The sequence below is a fragment of the Homo sapiens genome, chromosome 1 (genome assembly GCF_000001405.40).
Source record: "Homo sapiens chromosome 1, GRCh38.p14 Primary Assembly".
In the NCBI taxonomy this organism is placed as follows: Eukaryota; Metazoa; Chordata; class Mammalia; order Primates; family Hominidae; genus Homo; species Homo sapiens.
The window spans coordinates 178,065,031-178,090,420 of NC_000001.11; the positions used below are offsets into that span (position 1 = coordinate 178,065,031).

A 25,390-nucleotide genomic window follows, 5' to 3' on the forward strand; every position below is an offset into this window, starting at 1 on the left:
CATCAAGACGTACATTTTTAGACAAATTGCCTGTTTTGTGTGAGACTCAAGAGCGTGGCTGAGAAAGTACTTTAACTTCATCCACAGTAGGTAGAAACATAGACAATATAGAGATTGATAGAGAAGAGCAGGTACCCCAGAGGAAAAGTTAGCAAGACTTTATCTTATGGAGACTAAGGACAGCTTTCTAGCAGAAAATACAGAATCAGTTCATTAAGGCTGGATAGAAAGCTGGAGTGGGAAGGGAACAAAGGAGAGCCTGCTAAAAGTTGGCTGGGTCATGAGAGGCCACACATGCCGCACCAGGAAATCAGAGCTCCATCCTGAAGGATTTACACTTTATAAAGATCATTCTGGGCCAGATGCAGTGGCTCATGCTTGTAATCCCAGCATTTCGGGAGGCCAAGGCAGGAGGACCATTTGAGCCCAAGAGTTCGACACCAGCCTGGGCAACATAACAAGACCCTGTCTCTGCAAAAAATAAAAGTTAAAAATTAGCCAAGTGTGATGTTGTGCACCTGTAGTTCCAGCTACTCAGGAGCTGAGGTGAGAGGATTGTTTGACTCTGGGATCATGGCATGCAGTAAGCCATGATCACACCACTGCATTCAGCCTGGATGACAGAGCAAGACCCTATCTCAAGAAAAGATCACTCTGGCTGCAGGATGGAGAATGAATTCGGGAAGGACAAGACTGGAGGCAAGATCAGTTGGGAGATGCCTGTAGTAATTCTGGTTAGAGGAGATGGGGACTTGGTCTGGACAGTGGTAGTAAACATGGAAATAGTGGATGGATTCCAGGTATATTTAAGAGATATTATTGTCAAACTTGATTAGAAATGGGGTGGTGGCTCACACCTGTAATTCCAGCACTTTGGGAGGCCGAGGTGGAAGGATCACCTGAGGCCAGGAGTTTCAGACCAGCTGGGGCAACGTAGCAAGAGACCCCATCGCCTAAAAAAAAAAAAAAATTGAAAATTAGTTGGGGGTAGTGGCATACACTCATAGTCCCAGGTACTCTGGAGGCTGAGGTGGGAGGATCATGTGAGCCCAGGAGGTCAAGACTGCAGTGAGCCATGATTATGCCACTGCACTCCACCCTAAGTGACAGAGAGACCCTATTTCAAAAAAAACCCAAAAGGAATGGGGCACATATGAGGGAGAATAATTTAGGAAGGACACCCACATTTTAGACGTAGGCAACTGGTTGTATGGAAACCCAAGAGAAAGAGCAGGTTAGGAGGCAAAAGCAGGTGAATTTGGAGCAAGTGAGTTTGAAGCGCCTATAGGACATCCCCAACTTTTTTGGCACCAGGGACCAGTTTCGTTGGTGGGGTGGAGGGATGGTTTCCGGATGAAACTGTTCCACCTCACATCATCACACATTAGTTAGATTCTCATAAAGAGTGTGCAGCCTTCGCATGCGCAGTTCACAATAGGGTGGATACTCCTATGAGAATCTAATTTCCTCACTAATCTGACAGAAGGTGGAGCTCAGGCAGTAACAGGGGCTCATGGTGCTGCTCACCTCCTGCTGTGCGCCCCAGTTCCTAACAGGCCACAAACCAGTACCAGTCCAAGGCCCAGGGGTTGGGGGCCCCATATCTAAGTGGAAATGTCCAGGAGGTACGTCGATATGTACATATTTTAGGTATGTACATATCTGAGGTATGTAAGCTCACAAGGGAGATCTAGGCCAGAATTATAAATAGGGGAGTCACAGGCAAATAGATGGTAATTTAGGCCAAAGGAATAGATAATCCCACTCAGGGAAAGTGTGTAGATTGAGAAATGAAGATGCCCCAGTACAGAACACCAAGGGGAAAAGATGGCCAGTGGAAGAGAAGCACACAAAAAAAGCATAGCCAGAGAGGTAGAAAGAAAATCCAGCCAAGCAAAGAGAGCAGCTCAAGAGATGGTAAACAGTAGTGTCAAACATTGAGAGGTGAAGAAATAAATGGAGTAAACAGTGTCCCTGGGATTTTGCAAAGGGAGTTTATCGGTGCCCTTGGTGATAGCAGATTGAGAGAAGTGTTGATGGCATAAGCTGAAATGTGGTGGGGGTGAGGAGTGAGTGGGAGGTAGGAAAGTAGTGACGCCAAGTGTAGACAGTTTCTGAAAACTGGCTGAAAAGGGGAAGAGAGAAAGAGCAGAGGCCATGGGAGGGTTTTTGTTTGTTTTGCATTTACTAAGCAAAGATTTGAGCATTTTAAATATTGAAATAATATCATAGGAGAGGGAAAGGTGGAGAAGGAAGAGAGAGGGAGAAATCAATAGGGCAAGATTCCTGAGAAAGTAAAGAGTTTGAGATCCAAAGAACAGGCAGGGGCCTTAGCTGCAGAAAAGAGGAATGCTTCCATAGTCTGGTGGGAGGCCAGGCTTTAGCATGTGGTGGGAAGTTGAAGTGGTTATCGTCGGTTGGCTTGTATTTCCCCTCTCAGTGGGTGTTGAGTCATTAGAATGATGGGGACATGGTTGATGTTCGTGGGTGGGAGGGATGGTTGAAGATTTCTGGAGAATGGAGAAGACGGGAAAATGCTGCTTTGGAGAAAGAAAGGGAACATGTTACAAGGGGCCCAGCTGGGTCTAGAGTAAAGTAGGAGGACTGCCTTCACTGTGACATAGACTTTCAGACAAATTCCCTGCTTTGTATGAGACCTAGAATCTTGCCTGGGAAAGCACTTTATCCTACTCCACAACTAAGTTTGAAACATATGAAGACATGTCAGCTGTTTGTTGGGACATAGCCTAAAAAACATTTCTTGAAATTAATATTAATTAATGATTCATTATAAGTGATATATTTACAGTAAATATGCAGACTCCACAAACATCATCGTTTCTTTCTTTCTTTACTTTTTTTTTTTTTTTTTGAGACAGAGTCTTGCTCTGTCACTCAGGCTGGAGTGCAGTGGCGCGATCTCAGCTCACTGCACTCTCCGCCTCCCAGGTTCAAGTGATTTTCCTGCCTCAGTCTCCCGAGTAACTGGGACTACAGGTCATGCCACCACGCCTGGCTAATTTTTTGTATTTTTAGAGAGACGGGGTTTCACCGTGTTAGCCAGGATGGTCTCGATCTCCTGACCTCATGATCTGCTCGCCTCGGCCTCCCAAAGTGCTGGAATTACAGGCGTGAGTCACCGCGCCCGGCCTATCATTTTTTCTTTAGATTCTATAGTCACTACATCGGTATAACTAGTATACGGAGGTAGAATTACTTGATAGTTAAAAGCACAGACTCTGGAGGTGGTCACCCTGAGGGTGGTCATCCTGGTTGGGCCACCTACCATCCATGTGATCAAAAGCAAGGTAACTGTTTACCTGTAAAATGGGCATGATAAGAACACTTACCTCATAGGGTTGTTAAAGGAGATGACATATTTGGTGTAATAATATTTTTTGATATATTAACTTTTAAGTTATTAACTAATTCTCTTTCTGGAACTGTTCTTTGTGGTATATTCTTTGAAGTAAAATGGGGCAGAGCAGGTTGTGAAACTGGTGAGAAAAAAAAAAAGCAAAAGGAGTCTTCCTAATTTGAGAACCCCTAAACCAATTAAGAAAAGGATATCAGGGGATATACTTTAAGCCATTAGCAAGGGAGGAATTGTCTCTGAGACAACCGACGGTCCCTGAAGAGTAGAAAAGACTCCCTCCTTTCTGGAGAGAAAAGAAAGAAGCTGAGAGAATTGTGTGTGTGTGTGTGTGTGTGTGTGTGTGTGTGTGTGTGTATGTGTGTGTGTGTCTGAGTCACTGGAGAGAAGTCCAGACTTAATCAGAACCAAGCCTGTAAGAATGAGGGACAGCTCAGCAAAGGGGACATTCTATTAGTTATCTATTTCTCTGTAACAATTTACCCCAAACCTTAGTAGTCAAAGAAAACAAACATTTACTATATCACAGTTTCAGGGGTGAGGAGTCAAAAAGGGGCTTAACTGAGTATTTGTGGCTCTGAGCCTCTCATGAGATTGCAGTCAAGCCACTAGCTGGGTTGCAGTCATCTACAGGCTTGATTGGAGCTGTAGGACCTGCTTCAAGCTCACTTACATGGCTATTAGCAGGAGGCTTCAATTTCTCACCGCATGGGCCTCTCCATAGGGATGTTCAAGACATAGTATCTGACTTTCCTTATAGTGAGTGATCTAAGAGAGAGAAGAGGAGAGGAAAGACAAGGAGAGAAAAGAGAAAGAGACCCAGATGGAAGCAACAGTATCTTTTATTACTTAATCTTAGATGTCATACCATCATTTCTGCTACATTCTTCTGTCTTATTATATAACCATCTCCGGTACAATATGGAAGGGGTTTGCATGAGAATGAGAATACTGGGAGATGGTGATCATTGGGAATTATTTCAGAGGCTGGCTGTCACAGATACCATGATGGGTATTGTTGGAGCAGCCAGGCACAAGTGGGAGCAGTCTGCCTGACTTCCCTGAGTTTTGTTCGGCACCTGTGGCTCTCAACTTGCCTTTGGCATTAGTGGAGGGTGTCTCTTCTACAACAGACATCCTCTCATCACACAAGGATCTTCCAGCAGGAGTGATGGCCACCATGCTCTGAGACTTTGCTTGGGCCTGCTTACCCTATGTGCATGACCCCTAACTTGCAGAGAGCACAAAAGAAGAAAGCCTGGACTTATTGATGGGCCAGTGTACTAAGAAAACTCCCTTTCTAACCGGGGCAGTGGTTAAACATATTCCATCTGCGTAATCGCTAACTTTTACCAGGTGTTTATTTATCACATCCTCACTTTTCAGGTGAAGAAATTGAGGTCCAGATAGGTTGAGTAACTTGGGAGGGGGGTAATAACTAACATGTGGTGAAAACAAGATTTGAACCTGCTGAACCTTGTTGTAAATCTCAACCTCTATTCTACATGTATGTATGGCACATGTATTTAGCATGAAGCCCAGCATTAGTAAGTGTTCAATAGATGTTATTATTATTATTAATTTTTCTCATTGGAACAAAAGATAACCTATTATAGATTCAAGAAGCTAAAGGATGGGTACAGTCATTTTGAAAGGTAAACATTATGTTTTTATTACTCTCTTTTGTTACTTTCATTAACAACTTGGACACTTTATTCATGTGTACAAATTGCCATTTTGATCCCCGTGCTCATGTGTCCACCAATTGCTCAGTGGTGGATCTAGATTGATTATGACTACTATTTGTTTTCCTCCTTTTCATAAAGTTTTAATAACCCAAAGTCTTTCTTTCAGACATTACAGTCCGGTCTAAATCAGAAGCTGCCAATTGTCCTCTTAACTCGAAGGTAACCCATACCACTACCTTCCTTGAGGTGACTGAAAAGAGTATGGCTTCTGCTAGGTTTGAATTTGGCCTTCATACCAAACAAGCTGTGTGACTTGGGAAAGCGACCTAATGTTACTGAGCTATTCTTTCATCCTTTGTAAAACTGGGCTGTTGGGAGGACTAAATGAGATAATTTACATAAAGTATTTAGCACAGTGCTTATCACAGAATAGGCTCCTAGAGTTAAATGTCATTTTCCTTTTCCTCCTTCAAATAGGGTTTAATTGCTCCAGTCATTGTGGTCCCAAATAATTTTGATTCTGCTAGCTTACCACACCTGAAATGTATCAGATGATATTTAAATGCATAAGAAAAGTGCCCGATGATATCTCTATTTATTTTGTATTTTGCAAAAAGTCAACCCTGTCTCCCTCAATATATTTCCTGAAGGCAGGGAATATTTCTGATTCATATTTATATATTTTTTCTCTATAGTACCTAGCAAAGTGACTGGTACATAGTAGTATTTAATATGTATTTGCTGACCTAAATTAAAATGAGTATTTAGAACAGACTGAAATGAAAAGAAAACAGAAAATCCTTGCAGTGGAAGATGAAGTAAATGGCTTTGGAGATAGGAGAAATTAATATTTCCACGAAACAAATCACATGCACCATATAGATTTTCCTATTACGTATCATTCAATACTCTCTACGAACATTTTAAAATTCAATTAAATAACATTTCAAATATTTAAAGAGATAATGATGACAGAAATAGACAGATTCATCTTTTGAAAATATTTAATATTTTATTTCATGAGCTTAAGTGATATGAATACCTGGTACTGGAGAAATTATACCATTAATCATATTAATGATTTAATTGGCTTCCCAGAGTAAATGTTTCAGTTCTATTGTTGCTTAAAGAGAGAATTATTAGAGAGGAAAAGGATTTAGAGGAAGGCAATTTATATTCTCTTTTCAACTACTAGGGGCAACAAGATAGGACACTTTCGATCCCTCATGGTGTGAGTGGGACAACAGGCCTGAGGCATTTTACTTTCCTCATCCTAGTGCCTAGTTACACCTGAATGACAAAATGTCAACTCTAGATCAACCCCAAACTCAATCATCTAATTTCTCCATGCGTCCCCCTAACTCTGTCACTTGGCAGCCTGCGATTACTGCCTACTGTTTGGGTGTGCAGTGCTGTGGCTTTTTAAATCTTTCTGCTCAGTGGTGCTGTTCTTCATTCAATGGTACGTGTCTTGTCAGAGAAATGCCTGGTCATGCACGGCTCCTGTGAGCTCTTGAGTGGCAGTGGGGTTTGTCTTACAGCAGAGCCCCTTAATCCCCTTTCGGTGTCATATGAATGTGTTGGATGACTTCTTCAAGGAGCTGCGTCAGGATGGGTTTGAAAACAGTTAGGCTTTACTAGAACCATCTTTCTTTCCCTTCAGGTTGTGTTGCTGGGTCAGGTCCCCTGTTCCAGTCTCTTCCCTCCCCTACAGTGATTTTTTTTTTCCTTTCAAGGGTCCCACTGTTTACTTCTGCAGTCTGGCTTCTACTGGTGGGGGCTAAAAGATGAGAGGGGCTCAGGGAGTGGATAAAGATATTTCTCAGGCGCATTACTTAAACATACTTTTTTTAAGCAAAAGTTTATTGGTTTGTTTTTAGGCAGAGTCAAAATATTCCCATATCAAAACAGCCACATCAAGGCAGCCACATCAAGATGTTCTTGGCATCAAAATGACAGCCAAAGCTGTGTGTCAGCAAACTTGACTATGACAAAACAGCCTTTATCAAAATGGCTGTATCCTACATTGGCACAGGACTTGCCATGACAAGAATGGTTTCTAGAATGTCATTACTGTTTATAGTAACGTAAAAATGAAAAGTTGTGTTTCTTTCCACCACCAATGCTTCTACTTTCAATTGGGAGCTAGAATTACGCACAGGGACCCCACAAGGATGATAAAGAGGTACCCACTCCTTACTCCTAATGATCAATGTCTTCTGCAAAAAAGAATTGGGTACAATTTAATAAAGATGATCCTGCTTTCACCATGAAAATTGTGAAACTCCCATACTAATTTTATAATCATGTCTTTACACTTTGTTCTCATCACAGAGATCTTTTGGAATTATCTACTAACAATCAGCCAACACATTTATGTCAGCATTGAGGCAGCTCAGAGTCACATGTTCACTGACTACCATTGCATATTCTGTTCAATCACAAGCCTGGAAAAACCCATATCACATGATCATGCCCTGACCTGATGCCTCTTCAGGCACCCAATTAGGATGCAAAATCTTTCCTGAAAATGTTGATGTGATAAACCCTTTCTAACCTGTATTTTCAGGCTAAGAAAGCTTATAGACTGGGGAGATTCTTGCTCTGGGTATACAATATATAGTGTTCTAACTTAATTGCTCTCTGTTCCTAACTTAATTGCTGACCAACTCTTCCTTGACTTTCAAGGCACCACACTCTCTTGGCTTTATCCTGCCTCACTGTCTACTCCTTCTCAGTCTTTTTCTGTCTCCTATTTTTCTACCTGACCTCTATATGCTGGAGTGCCTCTGTGCTCAGTCTTGGGCCTTCTTCTCTAAGTATAACTCTCTCCTTAAGAGAGCACCTTCAATTCTAAGACTTTAAATAACATCTGTGTGCTGACTACTCCAAATATGTCTTTTCAGCCTGCATTAGTCTATTTGCATACTGCTGATAATGACATACCCGAGACTGGGCAATTTACAAAAGAAAGAGGTTTATTGGACTTACATTTCCACATAGCTGGGGAGGCCTCACAATCATGGCAGAACGCAAGGAGGAACAAGTTGCATCTTACGTGGATGGCAGCAAGCAAAGCGAGAGAGCTTGTGAAGAGAAACTCCCATTTTTAAAACCATCAGATTTCCTGAGATCCATTCACTACCACAAGAACAGCATGGGAAAGACCCAACCCCATGATTCAATCATCTCCCACAGGGTCCCTCCCATAACATGTGAGAATTATGGGAGCTACAAGATGAGATTTGGGTGGTGACACAGAACCAAACCATATCACAGCCCTAACCATTCACCATAAAACCAATATCTCTATTCGAAAGTCCAAGAGATATTTCAAACTTATAGTTCCATAATGGAACACTGATTCAAACCTGTTCTTCTTCTAGTCTTCTTCATCTTAGTGTGAAAATGAACTATATAGTCTCCCAAGCCACACACATAGAAGTTATCCCTGATTTTGTTTTTCACATCCCATATATATAATCCACCAGCAAATATTACTATGGGTCTACCTCCAAAATATATCTTGACTATATCTCTTCAAATGCCACAACCCTAGTCCAAGCCACCATCATCTTTTTCCACGACTATTGCAATGGCCTCTTTTTCTTTTTTCAGTCAATTCAACGAATGCGTATGCAATCTTAACTGGTTTCCCCTCCTTTTTTTTTTTTAGTTCTCAGCAGATCAAGCAAAGCTCAAGAAGGACAAATGAAACTACCCTATCAAGAGTACTCCCCTCCACCCACTACTTGTTTTTTGTTGTTGTTGTTGTTTGTTTGTTTTTGAGACAGAGTCTCACTCTGTCACCCAGGCTAGAGTGCAGTGGCGCGATCTCAGCTCACTGCAACCTCCGCCTCCCAGGTTAAAGTGATTCTTCTGCCTCGGCCTCCCGAGCAGCTGGGACTACAGGCGCGTGCCACTATGCCCGGCTAATTTTATTTTTTGTATTTTTAGTAGAGGCCTGCCTCAGCCTCCCAAAGTGCTGGGATTACAGGCGTGAGCCACCGCCCCCGACCTGTTCTTTATTAACTCACCATGTTGACTTTCTTCATAGAACTTACCACTATATGTAACTTTCTATTTCCTTCCTATTGACCATATTTCCCTCTAGAATATAAGCGCCACAAAAGCAGAGTTCAACTCTTTTCTTCTCCATTAGTCCTCAGGGTTTACTGCAGTGCCTGACCCACAGTAGCCTCTTAACAAATATTTGCCGGCAGGAATGAATTCAGGTATTTGCAAAAGAGGATATTTCTGGGATTCTAAAAATTTAGGCACCATCAATATTTGCTGTTGTTCAGAAGTATTCCATTCAGATTGGCCACATATACATGTATAAAATACATGTATTATTTAAAGGGAATGAGTTGAGAATATTTTGAGGCCTAGTTCAGACGTAATTCTTAAAAACTACTATTTTGTTTGATTGTCCCAACCTGAACACTGGGGTAACAATCCATGTTGCTTAGTATCACCAGGTTCAGGCACCAATTGTTAGATATAACTAAAAGTGTTTTGTTTTGATTTATTTTGTTTAGAGGTGGAGTCTTGCTCTGTCACCCAGGCTGGAGTACAGCGGTGCCATCATAGCTCACTGCAGCCTCAACCTCCTGGGCTCAAGTGATCCTCCTGCCTCAGCCTCCCAAGTGGCTAGGACTGTAGGCATGTGCCACCAAGCCCAGCTGATTTTTATTTTTATTTTTGTAGAGACAGGAGTCTCAATATGTTGCACAGGCTAGTCTCAAACTCTTGGGTTTAAGCAATTCTCCCACCTTGGCTTCCCAAAGTGCTAAGATTACAAGTATATGCCACTGTGCCTGGACTGAAAGTGTTAAGATCTTATGACAAAACAAAATATTTAGATGAGAAGAAATAATCACATGGATTAAAATGATCAATGTTGAATTTATTACATAGTTAGCTGAAGCATAAATATATACACACTCTAAATAGAAATGTAGTTGAAAATAGAAATTATTCTTTTGCAAACTGGTACATGAGTTCTTTTTAGGTAAGTAATTGTCTTTATTTATAATAATATCTTGAGAGATGCCTAAGGGGTGGTAGGTGAGGCTCTGTACGGGTTGGGGAAAAAAACAATTAAAAGATCACAAAATCATATTCTGCAGAGCCAAGAGTAGAAAAAAAATCACAAAATAATTCTGCATAAGCAATTATTGGGAGGTATGGGAAGAAGAGAGAAGTGGTAAGGGAGGAGGCACAGTGGGAGAGGAGGCTGAGCAAAATGTCAGGAAGCTTACATTTGGGTTGGTGGAAATAGAACAAGGAAATCAAGTTTTCAGTTTTAAATTGGCTGCTAAAGAGTTTTGCATATTTGCCATGTAGCCTCCCTATATGGCAAACATTATCTTTGAATTGCCAGGAACAGGCTACCACACACAGCTGCCTCTCATGAATTTGGGATGGGAAATCAAAGAGGAGGAGCTGTAACACATCCCTGGGTCAGTGCCAAAAGAAGATAAAGGAACAGCTGCAAGATACTGCAGAGTGAAGAATGGTAATTCAGCAGAAGCCAGAAATCAAACCCAGAGGTACCAAGAGAATGGGAAGCCCAGAAGTATCTCAGGGAGTTTGGGAGAGCACCAACTTCCCATAACACATGGGATGAGGTTTCCAGGTGAGTTTATTAAACTGCAAGGTGGTATTTGACTTCACAAATAATCTAAGAGCCACTGACAATAGGATTCTGCTGATAAATATTAATCACCCCTCACCATAGTATTAGTGAAAACTCTCATTAGAGATGATAGGTGCAACAGACAATGTCTGTGTCCTCCCCCTGACAAATTCGTATGTCATCCCCCAATGTGATGGTATTAGATGGTAGTGTTTTTGGGAGCTAATTAGGTCATGAGGGTGGTGCCCTAATGAGTGGAATTAGCGCCCCTATAAAAAGAACCCCAGAGAGCTCCCTTGCCCTCTTTCTGTCATGTGAGGATTCAATGAGAAGACAGCAGTCTGCAATCCAGAAGAGGACCCTCACCAGAATGCAACCCTGCCAGCATGCTGATCTAGGATTTCTAGCCTTCCAAACTGCGAGAAATAAATTTCATTTGTATATAAGCCATCCAGTCTGTGGTGCTTTGTCATACCAGCCCCAAATGACTAAAACAATAGGTGGTGTGTGTTTCGATTTTGATCCTCTCCTTTGATCATTCCATCCTGCTTTATTTGTTTCTGTTTTCCCCTGTGGTTCCATACTCCAATGTAAACCATGTTGGCCACAGTGATAGATCACTGTTTTTTATTATTTTTAGAGTTGGTTAGCCAGAACAATAAAAATTAAATTTATCAAATCTATGTAGTATGAGCAGGCTAGTGAAAACTAAAATTTAAATAATAATAGAAAAGCCTAAAGTTAGCTGGAAAGAGCATATCCAATTCAGCTAAATCACTTATTCATTGAATTCAACAAATACTCTGTGCCAAATACTCTGCTAGGTTCTGGAACTTTGAATATGAAAAAACCCAGTTGTCCCTCTCCATGAGTTCACAGTTCAGTGGGGATACAAAAGCAAATACTTATGATACAATGTAGGAAGTGCAAAATATAAAAACAATCATGGCTTTTATGAGATCACTGAAGAAAGAGGCACTTAGTGAACCCTTTGGAAGAGATCAGAGTTAGGAGTGGCTTTTTTTTTTTTTCCTTGAGACGGGGTCTCGCTCTGTTGCCCAGGCTGAAGTCCAGGCTGAAATAAAGTGGTGCAATCATAGCTCACTGTAACCCTGAACTCTTGGGCTCAAGCAATCCTCCTGCCTCATTCCTCCCAAAGCACTGGGATTACAGATGTGAGCCACTGTGCCTACCCAGGGGTGGCCTTTTTAATAAGTTGACAGCTGAGTTGGATTTTTAAGGATATGAAGAATTACTCAAGACAAATTCCTGATGGGAAGGAAACTGGATTGGGGTTAGGTGTAGGAGAGGGAAATAGAAGCAGAGATGTGGTTCCAAAAGGAACAGCACAGGCAAAGACATAGAAGGGGAAAAGTGCAAAGACTACATAGGAAACTACAAGATTTGATTTGCTGGAAACAGTTATAATGCACTAGAGAAAAGGGTAAAAGGTAGACGGTGGTGACTCTGAGTGTTATCTCTAAAAAGTGTAGACCATCTTGTCTGTGATGTGGAAAGTCTAATGGGTTTTGAGGCAGAAAAGTGGCAGGGCAAGAGTAGAGTTTTAAATAAATTACTTCAGTGTTATAGAGAGAACAGTTAAAAAGGGGTTGTAGTTGTACCTGTGGTTATACCTGTATTTAAGGTAGACAAAACAAAGGAAATTTGTTAGCAAATTGTTGTTCTAGACCAGGTGAAAGATGAAGAGTGGCCTATCTGAGGTGTGGATGGTGAAGATGGAGAAGTGGGAACAGGTCAAGCAATGTTTAGGAAGTTAAACCCTCAGGGCATGGTAACCGATTAGATTTTGGAGATGAAGGAGAGACACTACCAAAGGACTCTCTCAGATGACAAGTATGGATAACGGGGTCATGAGCTAAGATTGTGTCAACAGGAGGTAAAACTTTTTTAATGGAGAAGATGATAAATTTCATTCTAAACGTGAAGTTCTGGGTGCCTTTGGGACAGCCAGCATGAGCCAGAAAATGCTAGAAATGAGGGGAGAGGTCTGAAAGTACAGCACTGGAATTCATTTCTGTACAGGTGGTAGTTGAAACATTGAAGATGCCTTGGATCACTTAAGGAACATGTGTAGACTGATAGACAAGGGAGAGTCCAGGGAGAAGATGAGCCCACAAGGAAGGTAGAGAAGGAATGATCAGAGATGTATAAGAAAAGGAGGAGAGTGGTATATTAAAATAAAGAATGCATTTTCAGAAGGAAGTGATCATTGTGTCAAATGATTATAACAGGGGTTGTAATATAGGGCTTAGAGGAAAATAAATTTATTCACTTAGATGTCAATTTATTTACTTAGATGTCATTTCAAGAGCTGTTGTCATAGAGTTGTAAGGAGCTAAGAATGAGTAGGGAGGCAACTCCCTTGAATATCAAAAGAGGATATTCAAACCAAGCAAGGGCAGGACCAAAATAGAAAGTTACTAGCTTGTCTCACATATAAATATAGATATACAAAAACTAAACAAAATATTTGCAATTCATTGAAAATGCAGTATAATCAAGGGGGGTTAATCTCAGAAGTGAATGATACTTTATTTTTTGAAATCTATTAGTGTAATTCACTATCATATCCAATTAATGGAGGAACTTAAATGATCACCTCAATAACTATAGGAAAACATTCTTTTTTTTTCTTTGTTGAGATGGAGTCTCACTCTGTTGCCAGACTGGAGTGCAGTAGCATGATCTTGGCTCACTTCAACCTCTGCCTCCCGGCTTCAAGCGATTCTCCTGCCTCAGCCTCCTGAGTAGCTGGGATTACAGATATGCAGCACCACGCCCAGCTAATTTTTGTATTTTTAGTAGAGACGGGGTTTCACCATGTTGGCCAGGCTGGTCTTGATCCCCTGACCTCATGATCCACCCGCCTCGGCCTCCCAAAGTGCTAGGATTACAGGCGTGAGCCACCATGCCAGGCCCTCATTTATTTTAAAATATTCTTCTTAGAAAACCAGAAATAGATCAGATCATCCTAAATATCAAAAACCTACAGCAAATATTGTACTTAATGGTGAAAAAAATGGAAACATTTTCTTCAAAGTCAAGAACAAGACATGGTATTGTATCCATTCCACATTGTTTCTGGGGGTCCTAAACAATGCAATAAGATAAGAAATAAAAGCATAGGAATTGGAAAGAAAGGAAATAATAATTATATGAAAATAATATAATTGTCTACAGAGGATATTCAAGACAATCTTTTGACATTTTATCAATACTTTTGGGGTTTTTTTTTTTTTTTTTTTGAGAAAGAGTCTCGCTCTGATGCCAGGCTGGAGTGCAGTGGTGCAATCTTGGCTCACTGCAACCTCCGCCTCCCAGGTTCAAGCGATTCTCCTGCCTCAGCCTCCTGAGTAGCTGGGACTACATGTGTGCACCACCATGCCCAGCTGATTTTTGTATTTTTAGTAGAGACGGGTTTTCACCATGTTGGCCAGGATGGTCTCTATTTCTTGACCTTGTGATCCGTCCACCTCGGCCTCCCAAAATACTAAGATTACAGGTGTGTGCCACTGTGCCCAGCCTATCAATACTTCTAAGAGAGTTTTTCAAGGTTGATGGACACAAAGCCAATGTTCAAGAATCAATAGTGTTTTTCAGCCTGGCACAGTGGCTCACGCTTGTAATCCCAGCACTTTGGAAGGCCAAGGTGGGCGGATCACTTGAGGTCAGGAGTTTGAGACCAGCCCGGCCAATATGGTGAAAACCCATCTCTACTAAAAATACAAAAATCAGCTGGGCGTGGTGGTGCACACATGTAGTCCCAGCTACTCAGGAGGCTGGGGCAGGAGAATCACTTGAACCCAGGAGGCGGAGGCTGCAGTGAGCCAAGATCATGCCATTGCACTCCAGCCTGGGCATCACAGAAAGACTCCGTCTCAAAATAAAATAAAATAAAATAAAACAAAAATAGTGTTTTTCTATGACAGCAATAACCAATTAGAAAATATAATAAGAATATCTAAATTGCAGTCCCAACAAAAGCCATAATGTACCCAGAAATAGATTTAACAAAATATGTCTAAGACTTATATGGAAAAAAAAATGAGACTTTATCAATGAATACAAAATGGAAGAAATATATCATGTTCTTGAAGGGAAACTCAATATTATAACCAGGCAATTCTCCCTAATTAATGTATACATTTAACATTTTACAATCAGAATCTCAATGAGTGCTTTGTGGAATTTGACATTTGATTATAAAATGCCCATCGAAGAGTTCAGCGCCAAGAACAAGCAAAACAAATTTGAAAAAGGAAAATAAGAATGGAAAGGAATTAAGATGGTATGGTAGTAGAGCATAAGTAAATATAAAGTTCAACAGAACAGAGAGCAACACATAGGAGAGCTTGGTATGTGATAGAACATATAAAGCAGCAGGAAATAGCTGTACTATTCAATAAGTGGTGCTAGGTCAATTAGTTATCCATATAGAGAAAAACTAGATCTTTCTCACTATATACATAAATACATATCAGGTGGATTAAACTTTTCAATGTGAAAGGCAGAATAATAAAGCTTTTGGAATATAGTAGAGGAGAATACATTTATAACTTTGGAGTAGGGAAGGCCATTTTAAGGCATGAAAAACTTACATCATAAATGAACATAAACATGATAAATTAAAATTTCCTTCCCTCTCTCCCTCCCTCCCTCCCTCCCTCCTTTCTTCCCTTCCTCCCTTCCTTCCTTCCTTCTTGTGAGACAGGGTCTCACTCTTCACTCTGTTGCCTAGGCTGGAGTGCAGTGGTGCAATCTCAGCTCACTATAACCTTCACTTCCCAGGCTGAAGCCATCCTCCCACCTCAGCTTCCCTAGTGGCTGGGACTACAGGCACATGCCACCACACCAGGCTAATTTTTTTGTATTTTTAATAGGGTTTTGCTATGTTGCCCAGGCTGGTCTTGAACTCCTGGGCTCAAGCGATCCACCCACCTGCGCTGGCCTTCCACAGTGCTGGGATTACAGGCAGGAACCACTGCACCCAGCCTAAAATAAATTCCTATGTGAGAAAAAATACCATGAACTATGTTAAAAGACCAGGAGAAAATGTTTACAATTAAAAAAACTGACAAAAGATTAGAGTACAGCATATATACAGGGAAAACTTTTATAAATCAATAAGGAAAAGACAAAAATGCAATGGAAAAAAAAATTATCAAAGAATGTGAATTGGCCAGGCACAGTGGCTCATGCCTGTAATCCCAGCACTTTGAGAGGCCAAGGCAGGAGGATTACTTGAGGCCAGAAGTCTGAGACCAGCCAAGTCAACATAGTAAGACTCCATCTGTACAAAAAATTTAAAATAGCCAGGCGTGGTGGTGCACACCTGTAGTCCCAGTTACTTGGGAGGTTGAGGTGGGAGGATCACTTGAGCTCAGGAGTTTAAGGTTGTAGTGAGCCATGATTGAGCCACTGTACTCCAGCCTAGGCAACAGAGCAAGACTCAGTCTCAAAAAAAAAAAAAATTAAAAATAAATAAAAAGAACGTGAATAGGCAATTCAGAGAAGTAAAACCCAAATTGTCAACAGCATATCAAAAGATGTTTAACCTCTCTCCTAAAGAGGAAAATTCAGAATTAACATTGGGTTGCTTTTCATATATGTGATAATAGCAAAATCTAAAAATCTGATAATGCTAAATCTTGGCAACAGCGTGAAGAAAGGAATTTCTATATCTTCTGATGGGAAAGTAAATTGGTACAACCACTATGAAAAGCAATTTTCCAACTATTTGTAGAGTTGAATATGTGTATTCCCTACACATGGCAATTCAATTTCTGAACATATATCTAGAGAAATGCATATATACATAAGGAGAAGTGCCTTAAGGATGATCACTGCTTTATTGTTTGCAATAAAAAAGGTGGAAACAACCATTTCTGTGGAATATGTAAACTAATGGATGGACTATTTATATGACATGCAACTATACAGCAGTTAAAATGAATGGAATAGAATCACAAGTATCAACGTAGATAAATCATGAAACAATACTGAATGTAAAAGGTAAAGTCTAGGATATATATATATATATATATATATATATATATATATATATATATACATTTTATAAAGACACAAAACCATTTTATCTCTTTTTTTAAAGATCTGAAGAAAAACAGTGGCTGGGAGGTAAGGAAGTAGTGAAGATAGTGAGTATCATCTACCCTTTAGAAAAGTTCAGGTAGAGAAAGGAAGAAAGATTGGATAGTGGCTTGAGGAAGACGCTGGGTTGGAAGCCACACCCCCATAAAAATGTTGTGTACCCCAACACTTTTATTATAATTTTTTAAAAGAGGATTTTGCTCTATTGCCTACACTGGAGTGTAATGGCACAGTCATAGCTCACTGCAGCCTCGAACTCCTGGGCTTAAGCTATCCTACTGCCTCAGCCTCCCAAGTAGCTGGGATTACAGGCGTGAGGCAGCGTGCCCAGCTATGACAATTTTAAAAAACACAGAAAAGTTGAAAGAACTGTACAGTGAACACTCATTTACCCACAACCTAGATTCCACAAAGAGCATTTTGCTTTATTTGGTTTATTCTACATCTATCCATCCATCAATCCAGCCTATTTTTTTAGATGCATTTCAAAGAAATTTGTAGACATCAGTGCACTTCGTCAGTCAGTAGCGTTTTTTGTTTTTTTCTGAGAGTCTTGCTCTGTTACCCAGAGTGCAGTGGCATGTTACTGGAATGCAGTGGCATGATCTCGGCTTACTGCAACCATTACCTTCCAGGTTCAAGCGATTCTCCTGCCTCAGCCTCCCTGAGTAGCTGGCATTACAGATGCCCATCATCATGCGCAGCCATTTTTGTATGTTTAGTAGAGACAGGGTTTCACTATGTTGGCCAGGCTGGTCTCGAACTCCTGACCTCAACTGATCCACTCACTTCGGCCTCCCAAAATGCTGGGATTACAGGTATGAGCCACCGTGCCCGGCCAACTTTTTGATTAGATGGGAGAGATGAACATATGAATTGAAAGGAGTCAGTGTTGAGGGTGTGGTTGAAGGAAAAAAGAGAAAATAATTGCTTAAGCCCTAAAAGAGGTGGGAGCATCTGACCTTTGAAAAAGAGGAGGGAGCTCTCATCCCCTGAGCCTGAAAGAAAAGACTGGAGGGATATGGATGTTGAAGGAGATCTTACTTAGTGCCTCAATTTTTCTCTTTGAAACAGGAGGTGGAAACATTTGTTGAGAATGAGAGTTGGGAGTTGACCAGGTCTTGAGGAGGGAAGACAAAGATTAGGTCTATTCACTGAGCAGAATGGGAGAGGGAACTGATCAAAGACAAGTTAAGGGGTTGGTGAAATCTTTGAGGGCCCAGTTGAGCTTGAATCTGTAGCAGCAGATGACTCCAGGTTATGGGATTTTCTCCAGGCCTCAACTGTTTGAGAAGGATGATATGGTTTGGCTCTGTGTCCCCACCCAAATCTCATCTCAAATTGTAATCCCCACTTGTTGAGGGAGGGACATAGTAGGAGTTGACTGAATCACTGTGGCAGTTTCCCTCATGCTGTTCTTGTGATAGTGAGGGAGTTCTCACAGGATCTGATGGTTTAAAAGTGGTAGTTTCCTCTGCACTCTCTCTCTCCTTCTTCTACCATCATGTAAGATGTGCCTCGCTTCCTCTTCACCTTTCGCCATGATTGTACGTTTTCTGAGGCCTCCCTAGCTATGTGGAACTGTAAGTCAATTAAACTTCTTTTCTTTATAAATTACCCAGTCTCAGGTAGTATCTTTATAACAGTGTGAGAACAGACTAAAACAAAGGAGGAGAAGGAAAAATAGACTGTGAGACTGATACAGAGTTGATGCAGTGGGCAAGGTGCAAGGGAACAGAAGGGACTAGTGTATTTTATTTTTTTAATTTAATTCAATTTTATTCTATTTTGAGACAAGGTCTTGCTCTGTCACCCAGGCTGGAATTAATGGTACAATCTTAGCTCACTGCAACCTCCACCTCCCAGGCTCAAGCGATTCTCATGCCTCAGCCTCCCAAATAGCTGGGATTACAGGCATGTGCCACCACGCCTGGCTAATTTTTGTATTTTTAGTAGAGATGGGGTTTCGCCATGTTGGCCAGGCTGGTCTCAAACTCCTGAACTCAAATGATCCACCGGCCTCAATCTCCCAAAGTACTGGGATTACAGGCATGAGCCACCACTCCTGGCCCAGGAGTAGTGTGTTTTAGATGATCAATCATTAGTCCCAGGCAGAGCACGGAACTAACAGAGTCTAGGAAAGGCTGATCAACTGGAATAAAATGAAGGTATCTACAGAGTAGAGTTCTCATGAAATGGAAAAACAACCCCTCTATTGAGCCACAAACCTTGAGAGAGCTCTGTCCTCACTAGGCTCATTGCTTCAGCTCCAGACACAGGGAGACAGCTTGGATTAGAACAAGGTCCTTGTGGCCTTTCCAAAAACTTTGTGACAGGCTTCACAGTGAGCCAAAGTATAATATTTGAAGCCCATCTCTCCCTCATTCCTCTAATCCCCAGTCATTGATTGAATGGGCAATATTTCTAGTCACCTGTGCTCTCTATTGCCTTCACCCCCTTAATGAATGGTTCAGTACTTTCTCACATCTGCCTATCACTATGAAACCCCTCTTTCTCACCTCTTGTGGCTATCACTACAAACCCCTTAATCATCCTTTGCACTGAGCCATCTGGAACCATTATCCCATTATAAATAAGACATTCTACATTCTTTTTTTTTTTTTTTTTGAGACGGAGTCTCGCTCTGTCACCCAGGCTGGAGTGCAGTGGCGGAATCTCGGCTCACTGCAAGCTCCGCCTCCCGGGTTCACGCCATTCTCCTGCCTCAGCCTCCTGAGTAGCTGGGACTACAGGCGCCCGCCACCACGCCCGGCTAATTTTTTGTATTTTTAGTAGAGACGGGGTTTCACCGTGTTAGCCAGGATAGTCTCTATCTCCTGACCTCGTGATCCGTGAAGACCCACTTCAAGGCTAGGATTTGCCTTGCAACATCCTCTAGTTGAGGCTGTTCATTCTCCCACATACTTTGTTCTGTTGTGCTGTAGAGGGAGTTGGGATGCAGGGGTTAGCATTTGGCTGACTGTCCTTTGCTACTTCCAGACCACCACTCTTGAACTCTCATGTAAATGCTTACTCTTTTCTTAAGGGTTCCCTCTACCCTATCTTCCTTTTTGCCACTTGGTTCCCTTCATTCTCCAAAAATTTGGGGACTTAACTCCCCAATAGTTTTTATCTTTATCCTACCTCCTAGTACCATCCTAGGAGTTGCTGTTAACAACTGTTCCACTAACTTAGCTTTTTAATTTTTGTACCTTCTTAACCCTTCTGACCTTCTCCTTCAATCTACTTTAGTCATCCACCACTTAGGACCACATTTTGTATCTTGTCATCACTCAGACATTACACCTTAGCAATCTTAGATTCTGATATCCCACTTTCTGACTACTTGCTTCTAACCTTCCAGCTCCTCCCTGGTTATCCTGCTAATAATTTCCTGTTATAAACTAATGGAAAAATGACCAAAAAAAAAAAAACCCTTCCAGGTTTCTTATTTCTCAATACTAACGATTAACCATAATCAACACTGGGAAGAGATTCTTCATCCATATTTAGATAACAGCTTACAAAGGATATATTTTGGATATTTTTTTCTTTATTCACAAGTCTTAAATAGGCTTTAGCTATTATAACCAATGTCTTGACATCTTTAAGATATCAGAGAAAAATGAAAATGGTTGTGTAGCCTCCACATATTGACCAATTAAGATAATATTTCTTGGCCAGGCACGGTGGCTCACGCCTGTAATCCCAGCACTTTGGGAGGCCGAGGAGGGCGGATCACGAGGTCAGGAAATCGAGACCATCCTGGCTAACACGGTGAAACCCCGTCTCTACTAAAAATACAAAAAAAAAAAAAAAAATTAGTCAGGCGTGGTGGCGGGTGACTGTAGTCCCAGCTACTCAGGAGGCTGAGGCTGGAGAATGGCGTGAACCCAGGAGGTGGAGGTTTTAGTGAGCTGAGATCATGCCACTGCACTCCAGCCTGGGCGACAGAGCAAGACTCTGTCTCAAAAAAAAAAAAAAGATAATATTTCTTTCAGAGTAATAGGAGGACAGTGGAATAATTTTTTTAAATCTCTTCTTCAGAATCATTTGGTTCTGATTTTTTAATCACATTTTTGAGGACTCATTAGAACAACAAAGCTAAGGAAGTGATCATTTTCTTTGGCTAGGGTTACCTAACTTGGTGTCTCTATAGTTAATAGAAAAACACAGAAATTAATTTGCTAAAGATTACTCTCTTCATAGATAGTGTCTGTTAATAGATGGTTGGCTCGGCATATTCCAAGAAGAGCTGGGTTACTCAACAGATATGGTGTTTAGGGCACTGGCAAAGTAGGAATACACAAAGACACATACAAAACTTTTAAGAGTTTGATATCTGCCATTTCTGAAACACATTCTGTAGTGGTTATCACTGAAAAAATAAAACAGAACTTTGTTGCTCTTCATAACACTTTGCAAAAATAATTTTTAGGTGGGGTGAGGCACCTTATTATTTTCAGTGCTTAGGACCTCTAAGGTTTTAATTAGGCCCTGATGTCAGGGGCCATTGTGATTACATCTGAGTATTTTTACTTTTTTCGCATTCCTGTAGTTGAATGCTGAAGTGAGGTCATGATTTTGGAGGAGTTTTTCCCAGAAGTGACTGGTAGACGTCTGTTTGTCTCTGGGCTGTTCCACTGCTTTTCCAAACAATATTGTCATTGGTTAGTACAAACAGTGGCCTTCTCTTAGAGGACACGGGCCAGATATAAAAGGGTACTCACAAAACCCAAGAAGATTGCTAAGCCTTTCTTTGGTCCTGATGACTCCCTAAGATCATGAAGTTTCTAACTGCTATGAGGAGAATCAGTGCTCCTTAAATTCTCCTCATTAACCTCAGTTTCCCCATTTAGAATGCTCACTTCCTTTCTACCTGACCTGCTTCCAAACTTGACTTATGCCACAGCTTTGGTTTCTATCCAACTTCTTTCTACCGAGAATGCTGTGGAATGAATGGCAGCCACCCAACCACTTGAGGCTTGCTGTCCTATACTCCTCAATGAAGAGATTGAGAGAGTAGAGAAATATTTCCTTTTAAAGACAGACCCCTTCTAGGGAGTAGGAAATATATTTTCTATGATTGCATTAGATTCTGCTTAAGACTCAGGATGCAGGATGCTATCGTGACGAGGGACAGACAAGGTTGAAAAGGGGAACATACTGAGCAATGAGGAACAGCTGAGAGCTACAAAGATAGGGCTGTGCTCGTGTATAAATAGCAATGTTGCTGCTACCCTGATGAATCAGACCAGATGTTTCTCTGATGTCTCTGTTTGGTCCTTTGGTTAAAAAAAAATAAGTATAATTTTGCTAAAATTATATGTGGGGCCAGGAATATGGCACGAATGCTTTAAGCTTAAATAATATGTAAAAGAATAAAATTACTTTGCTGAGAAAACCTTTATTAACAAGAAAAATATCCATTTAAAGGACAGAAAAGGATGGAAAGGAATGAATCTTTTGATAGGGCTAATGAATTGAGATTCAGGAGATCTGAATTCTAATCTTTCCTCTGTCATTAGTTTTGTGAGCACAGTCATGTCATTTTCCTGGGCCTAGGAATGTTTATTTTTAAAATGGGCAGGGGCAGGAGAGAAAATGAGAGTTGCATGATTGGACTTATTAAACGGATATTTTAGTATCTTTTGCAGCCCCAAACATCTATGAAGAAACCCTTAGTATAATTTCTTGTTTCTTGGCTTCTGGTTTCATTGAGGGGTTAATTTATGAAAGACATTGCCGGGGAGAAACAAGTTTTCTGTCTCAAGGTGCTTATAACCTGATAGCAGATATTAAGAGTTATACAGGCTAGGCGCAGTGGCTCACGCCCGTAATCCCAGCACTTTGGGAGGCCGAGGAGGGTGGATCACGAGGTCAGGAGATCGAGACCATCCTGGCTAACACAATGAAACCCTGTCTCTACTAAAAATACAAAAAAAAAAAAAAAAAAATTAGCCGGGTGTGGCGGCGGGCGCCTGTAGTCCCAGCTACTCAGGAGGCTAAGGCAGGAGAATGGCGTGGACCCGGGAGGCGGAGCTTCCAGTGAGCCAAGATCGTGCCACTGCACTCCAGCCTGGGAGACAGAGCCAGACTCCGTCTCAAAAAAAAAAGAGTTATACAAAGGATAATTCCATAATATGTACTATGATTGGTTCCAGAAGACAGACAGAAACAAATGCTATAGGAACTCAGAGGAGGCTAATTGCCAGCTTGGAGAATAGGGAATGACTTGATGGAGGAGGACAGTGGTATTTGATGGGGACCCTTGAAAAGTCCCATTCCAGGTGGAAGAAACAATTAAGCCGAGGCAAGGGGCAAGGAAAGTGCTGGATGTATTTGTAGAACAGAGAGTCTATTGGGTTGGCAGAGCACATGCAATGAGCGAGGCAGCAACAGTGGTTTGGGATTACATTTGGAAGGCCCTTTTAAGCTCTGTAAAGCATATATTTTACTTAGTAGGCAACAAGGAGCTGTTTTTTTGAGCTTGGATGTGATTTGGTCTGAACTGTGCTGTAGAATAATTCACCTACAACAGAAAGTAGAAAGTATTGGAGGTGGAAAGGTGGCAGGGGAAGGAGGACGGCTAACAAGCTAATGCAATAATCCTCGTGAAAGCTAACTAGGTCTGAGCTAGGACAGTGTCAATACGAATTCAAAGCATGAGTTGGATTTATGCAAGCTAGGATGGAGGAGAGGACTCAAAAGTAACTCCATGTATAAGCAAGTTTGAGACAGAACCCACTAGTTTTACTAACATAAAAAGGCAATTCAAGAAGGCAAGGGTGGTTGGGCAAGGGGTAAGGAGATCATGAAGATGTCACTTTCCATGCATTGAGTTGGAAGTCCAGGAAGCATATTTTGTTGGAGGTGTTCAACATTTAAAAACTCCTGATAGGACCCTAGTACTGTGGATAAGGCTGGAGATGAGTTTCTCAAAGTCAACATTATCCAAGTGACAGCTGAAATCACAGAAGTGGGTAGATCACCAGGGATTTAGGGAGTGAGGTGAGAGGAAGACAGATGGCAGAATCTTGGGAAATGTCTGAATTCTTCCTTATGATAGACTGGGCATAGTCAGTGTTATAATCAGGAGAGTGCTGCATAAACGTGTCTAAAGGGAGAGAGGATATTGAAAGGGAGGAGCTGGCGAACCAGTTTAAAAATTGCATTACTGTTTTGGGGATTAGCTGCTTAGAGGTGGGGCATACATAGTCTAGAAGGGACTGGCTATAAGAAAATAGCTGGCCAGGCTCGGTGGCTCACTCCTGTAATCCCAGCATTTTGGGAAGTCGATGCAGGTGGATCACTTGAGCCCAGGAGCTTGAGGCCAGCCTGGGCAACATGGGGCAACCCTGTCTCTACAAAAAATGCAAAATTAGCCAGGCATGGTGGCGCACACCTGTAGTCCCAGCTACTTGGGAGGTTGAGGTGGGAGAATTGCTTGAGCCTGGGAGGTGGAGGTTGCAGTGAGCCAAGATCATGCCACTGCACTCCAGCCTGGGCGACAGAGCAAGGCCCTGCCTTAAAAGGAAAGAAAATAGTTAACAGCATTTGTGAAGAGGGAACCTCGTGTGTGTGTGTGTGTGTGTGTGTGTGTGTGTGTGTGTGTGTGAATGAAGAAGAAAACTGGACCCATACCCGGACCTCAGTTTTGTGACAGCCAAGATTCCAAACCCTCATCTCCCCTTATTATTGACTATTGGTAATGTATACTTCTCTTTATTACTGGCAATGTGTATTCAGAACCAAAGGCCTCTTTCTGTCTTTTAGAAACCTCAGATTTGTGCCAGCATTTGTTTTTAGACATAGGAAAACTATTATTTCTTCTCCTCGATAGTTACCCAATTTTTAGTTCCCACTTCTCCGGGGACTTGGGTCTGATTCTTGATGTTATGAATTCCAATGATAGTAAATATGTAGATCACCTTTGGGAGCTTGAAACCTGGAGGAAAGAGGAGGGGAGAAGGCAGGCAGGGGTGTGAGAGCTTTCTTGTAGTTCACACATAAAGGACTGTTTGCAAACTACAGTGTTAACTAAGACTTCATCAGCCAAGGATTTATCTTCACATTAAAATCTGGGTTGGCTCTGGGGAGATACCACTGGTGTAAGTTCAAGTAGGATTAACTGCCTCCCAGCAATGCAAATTGGTTTCCAACTTTTTTGTTTTGTTTTTTCTTCAATATTTTTTGGGATATTTTTCTTAAATGATAATAATTTGCAAAAACCATGAAATATTATTTTTGGTTCTACAAATGTCAGAACACCAAAGAAAAACACTCTTCAGGAATCCAGATCTATTAATGAAATTAAAAATTAGGGGACTTGAGTTTTAATCTCAATCTCCTAAGTAGCCATGTTTAGGTAGGTTGCTTAATACAATTCTATGCTTAATTTTTTTTTTAAATTCTCTAAATGATGATTTTAAAATACTGGTTCTACTTATCTCACAGAATTATTGTTCAGGTTGTGAAAGTATTTTCTTTCTTTCTTTTCTTTTTTTTGAGACAGGGTCTCATGCTGTTGCCCAGGCTGGAATGTAGTGGTGCAAT

At 41.3% G+C, this 25,390-nt stretch overlaps 1 long non-coding RNA gene across 1 annotated transcript, besides 1 other annotated feature; it reads left to right on the forward strand.

The window, feature by feature from the left end:
• Positions 2,253-2,302: an enhancer, noted in NCBI's record as "active region_2141". NCBI's record gives its function as "activates an Ori minimal core promoter by ATAC-STARR-seq in GM12878 lymphoblastoid cells {active_cell/tissue: GM12878}" and the evidence as "EXISTENCE:reporter gene assay evidence [ECO:0000049][PMID:35858748]".
• LOC124904459 (uncharacterized) lies at positions 10,540-11,152 on the forward strand. The gene is made up of 2 exons (XR_007066744.1): positions 10,540-10,702; positions 11,022-11,152. It is a non-coding gene; the product is annotated as an uncharacterized LOC124904459 (long non-coding RNA).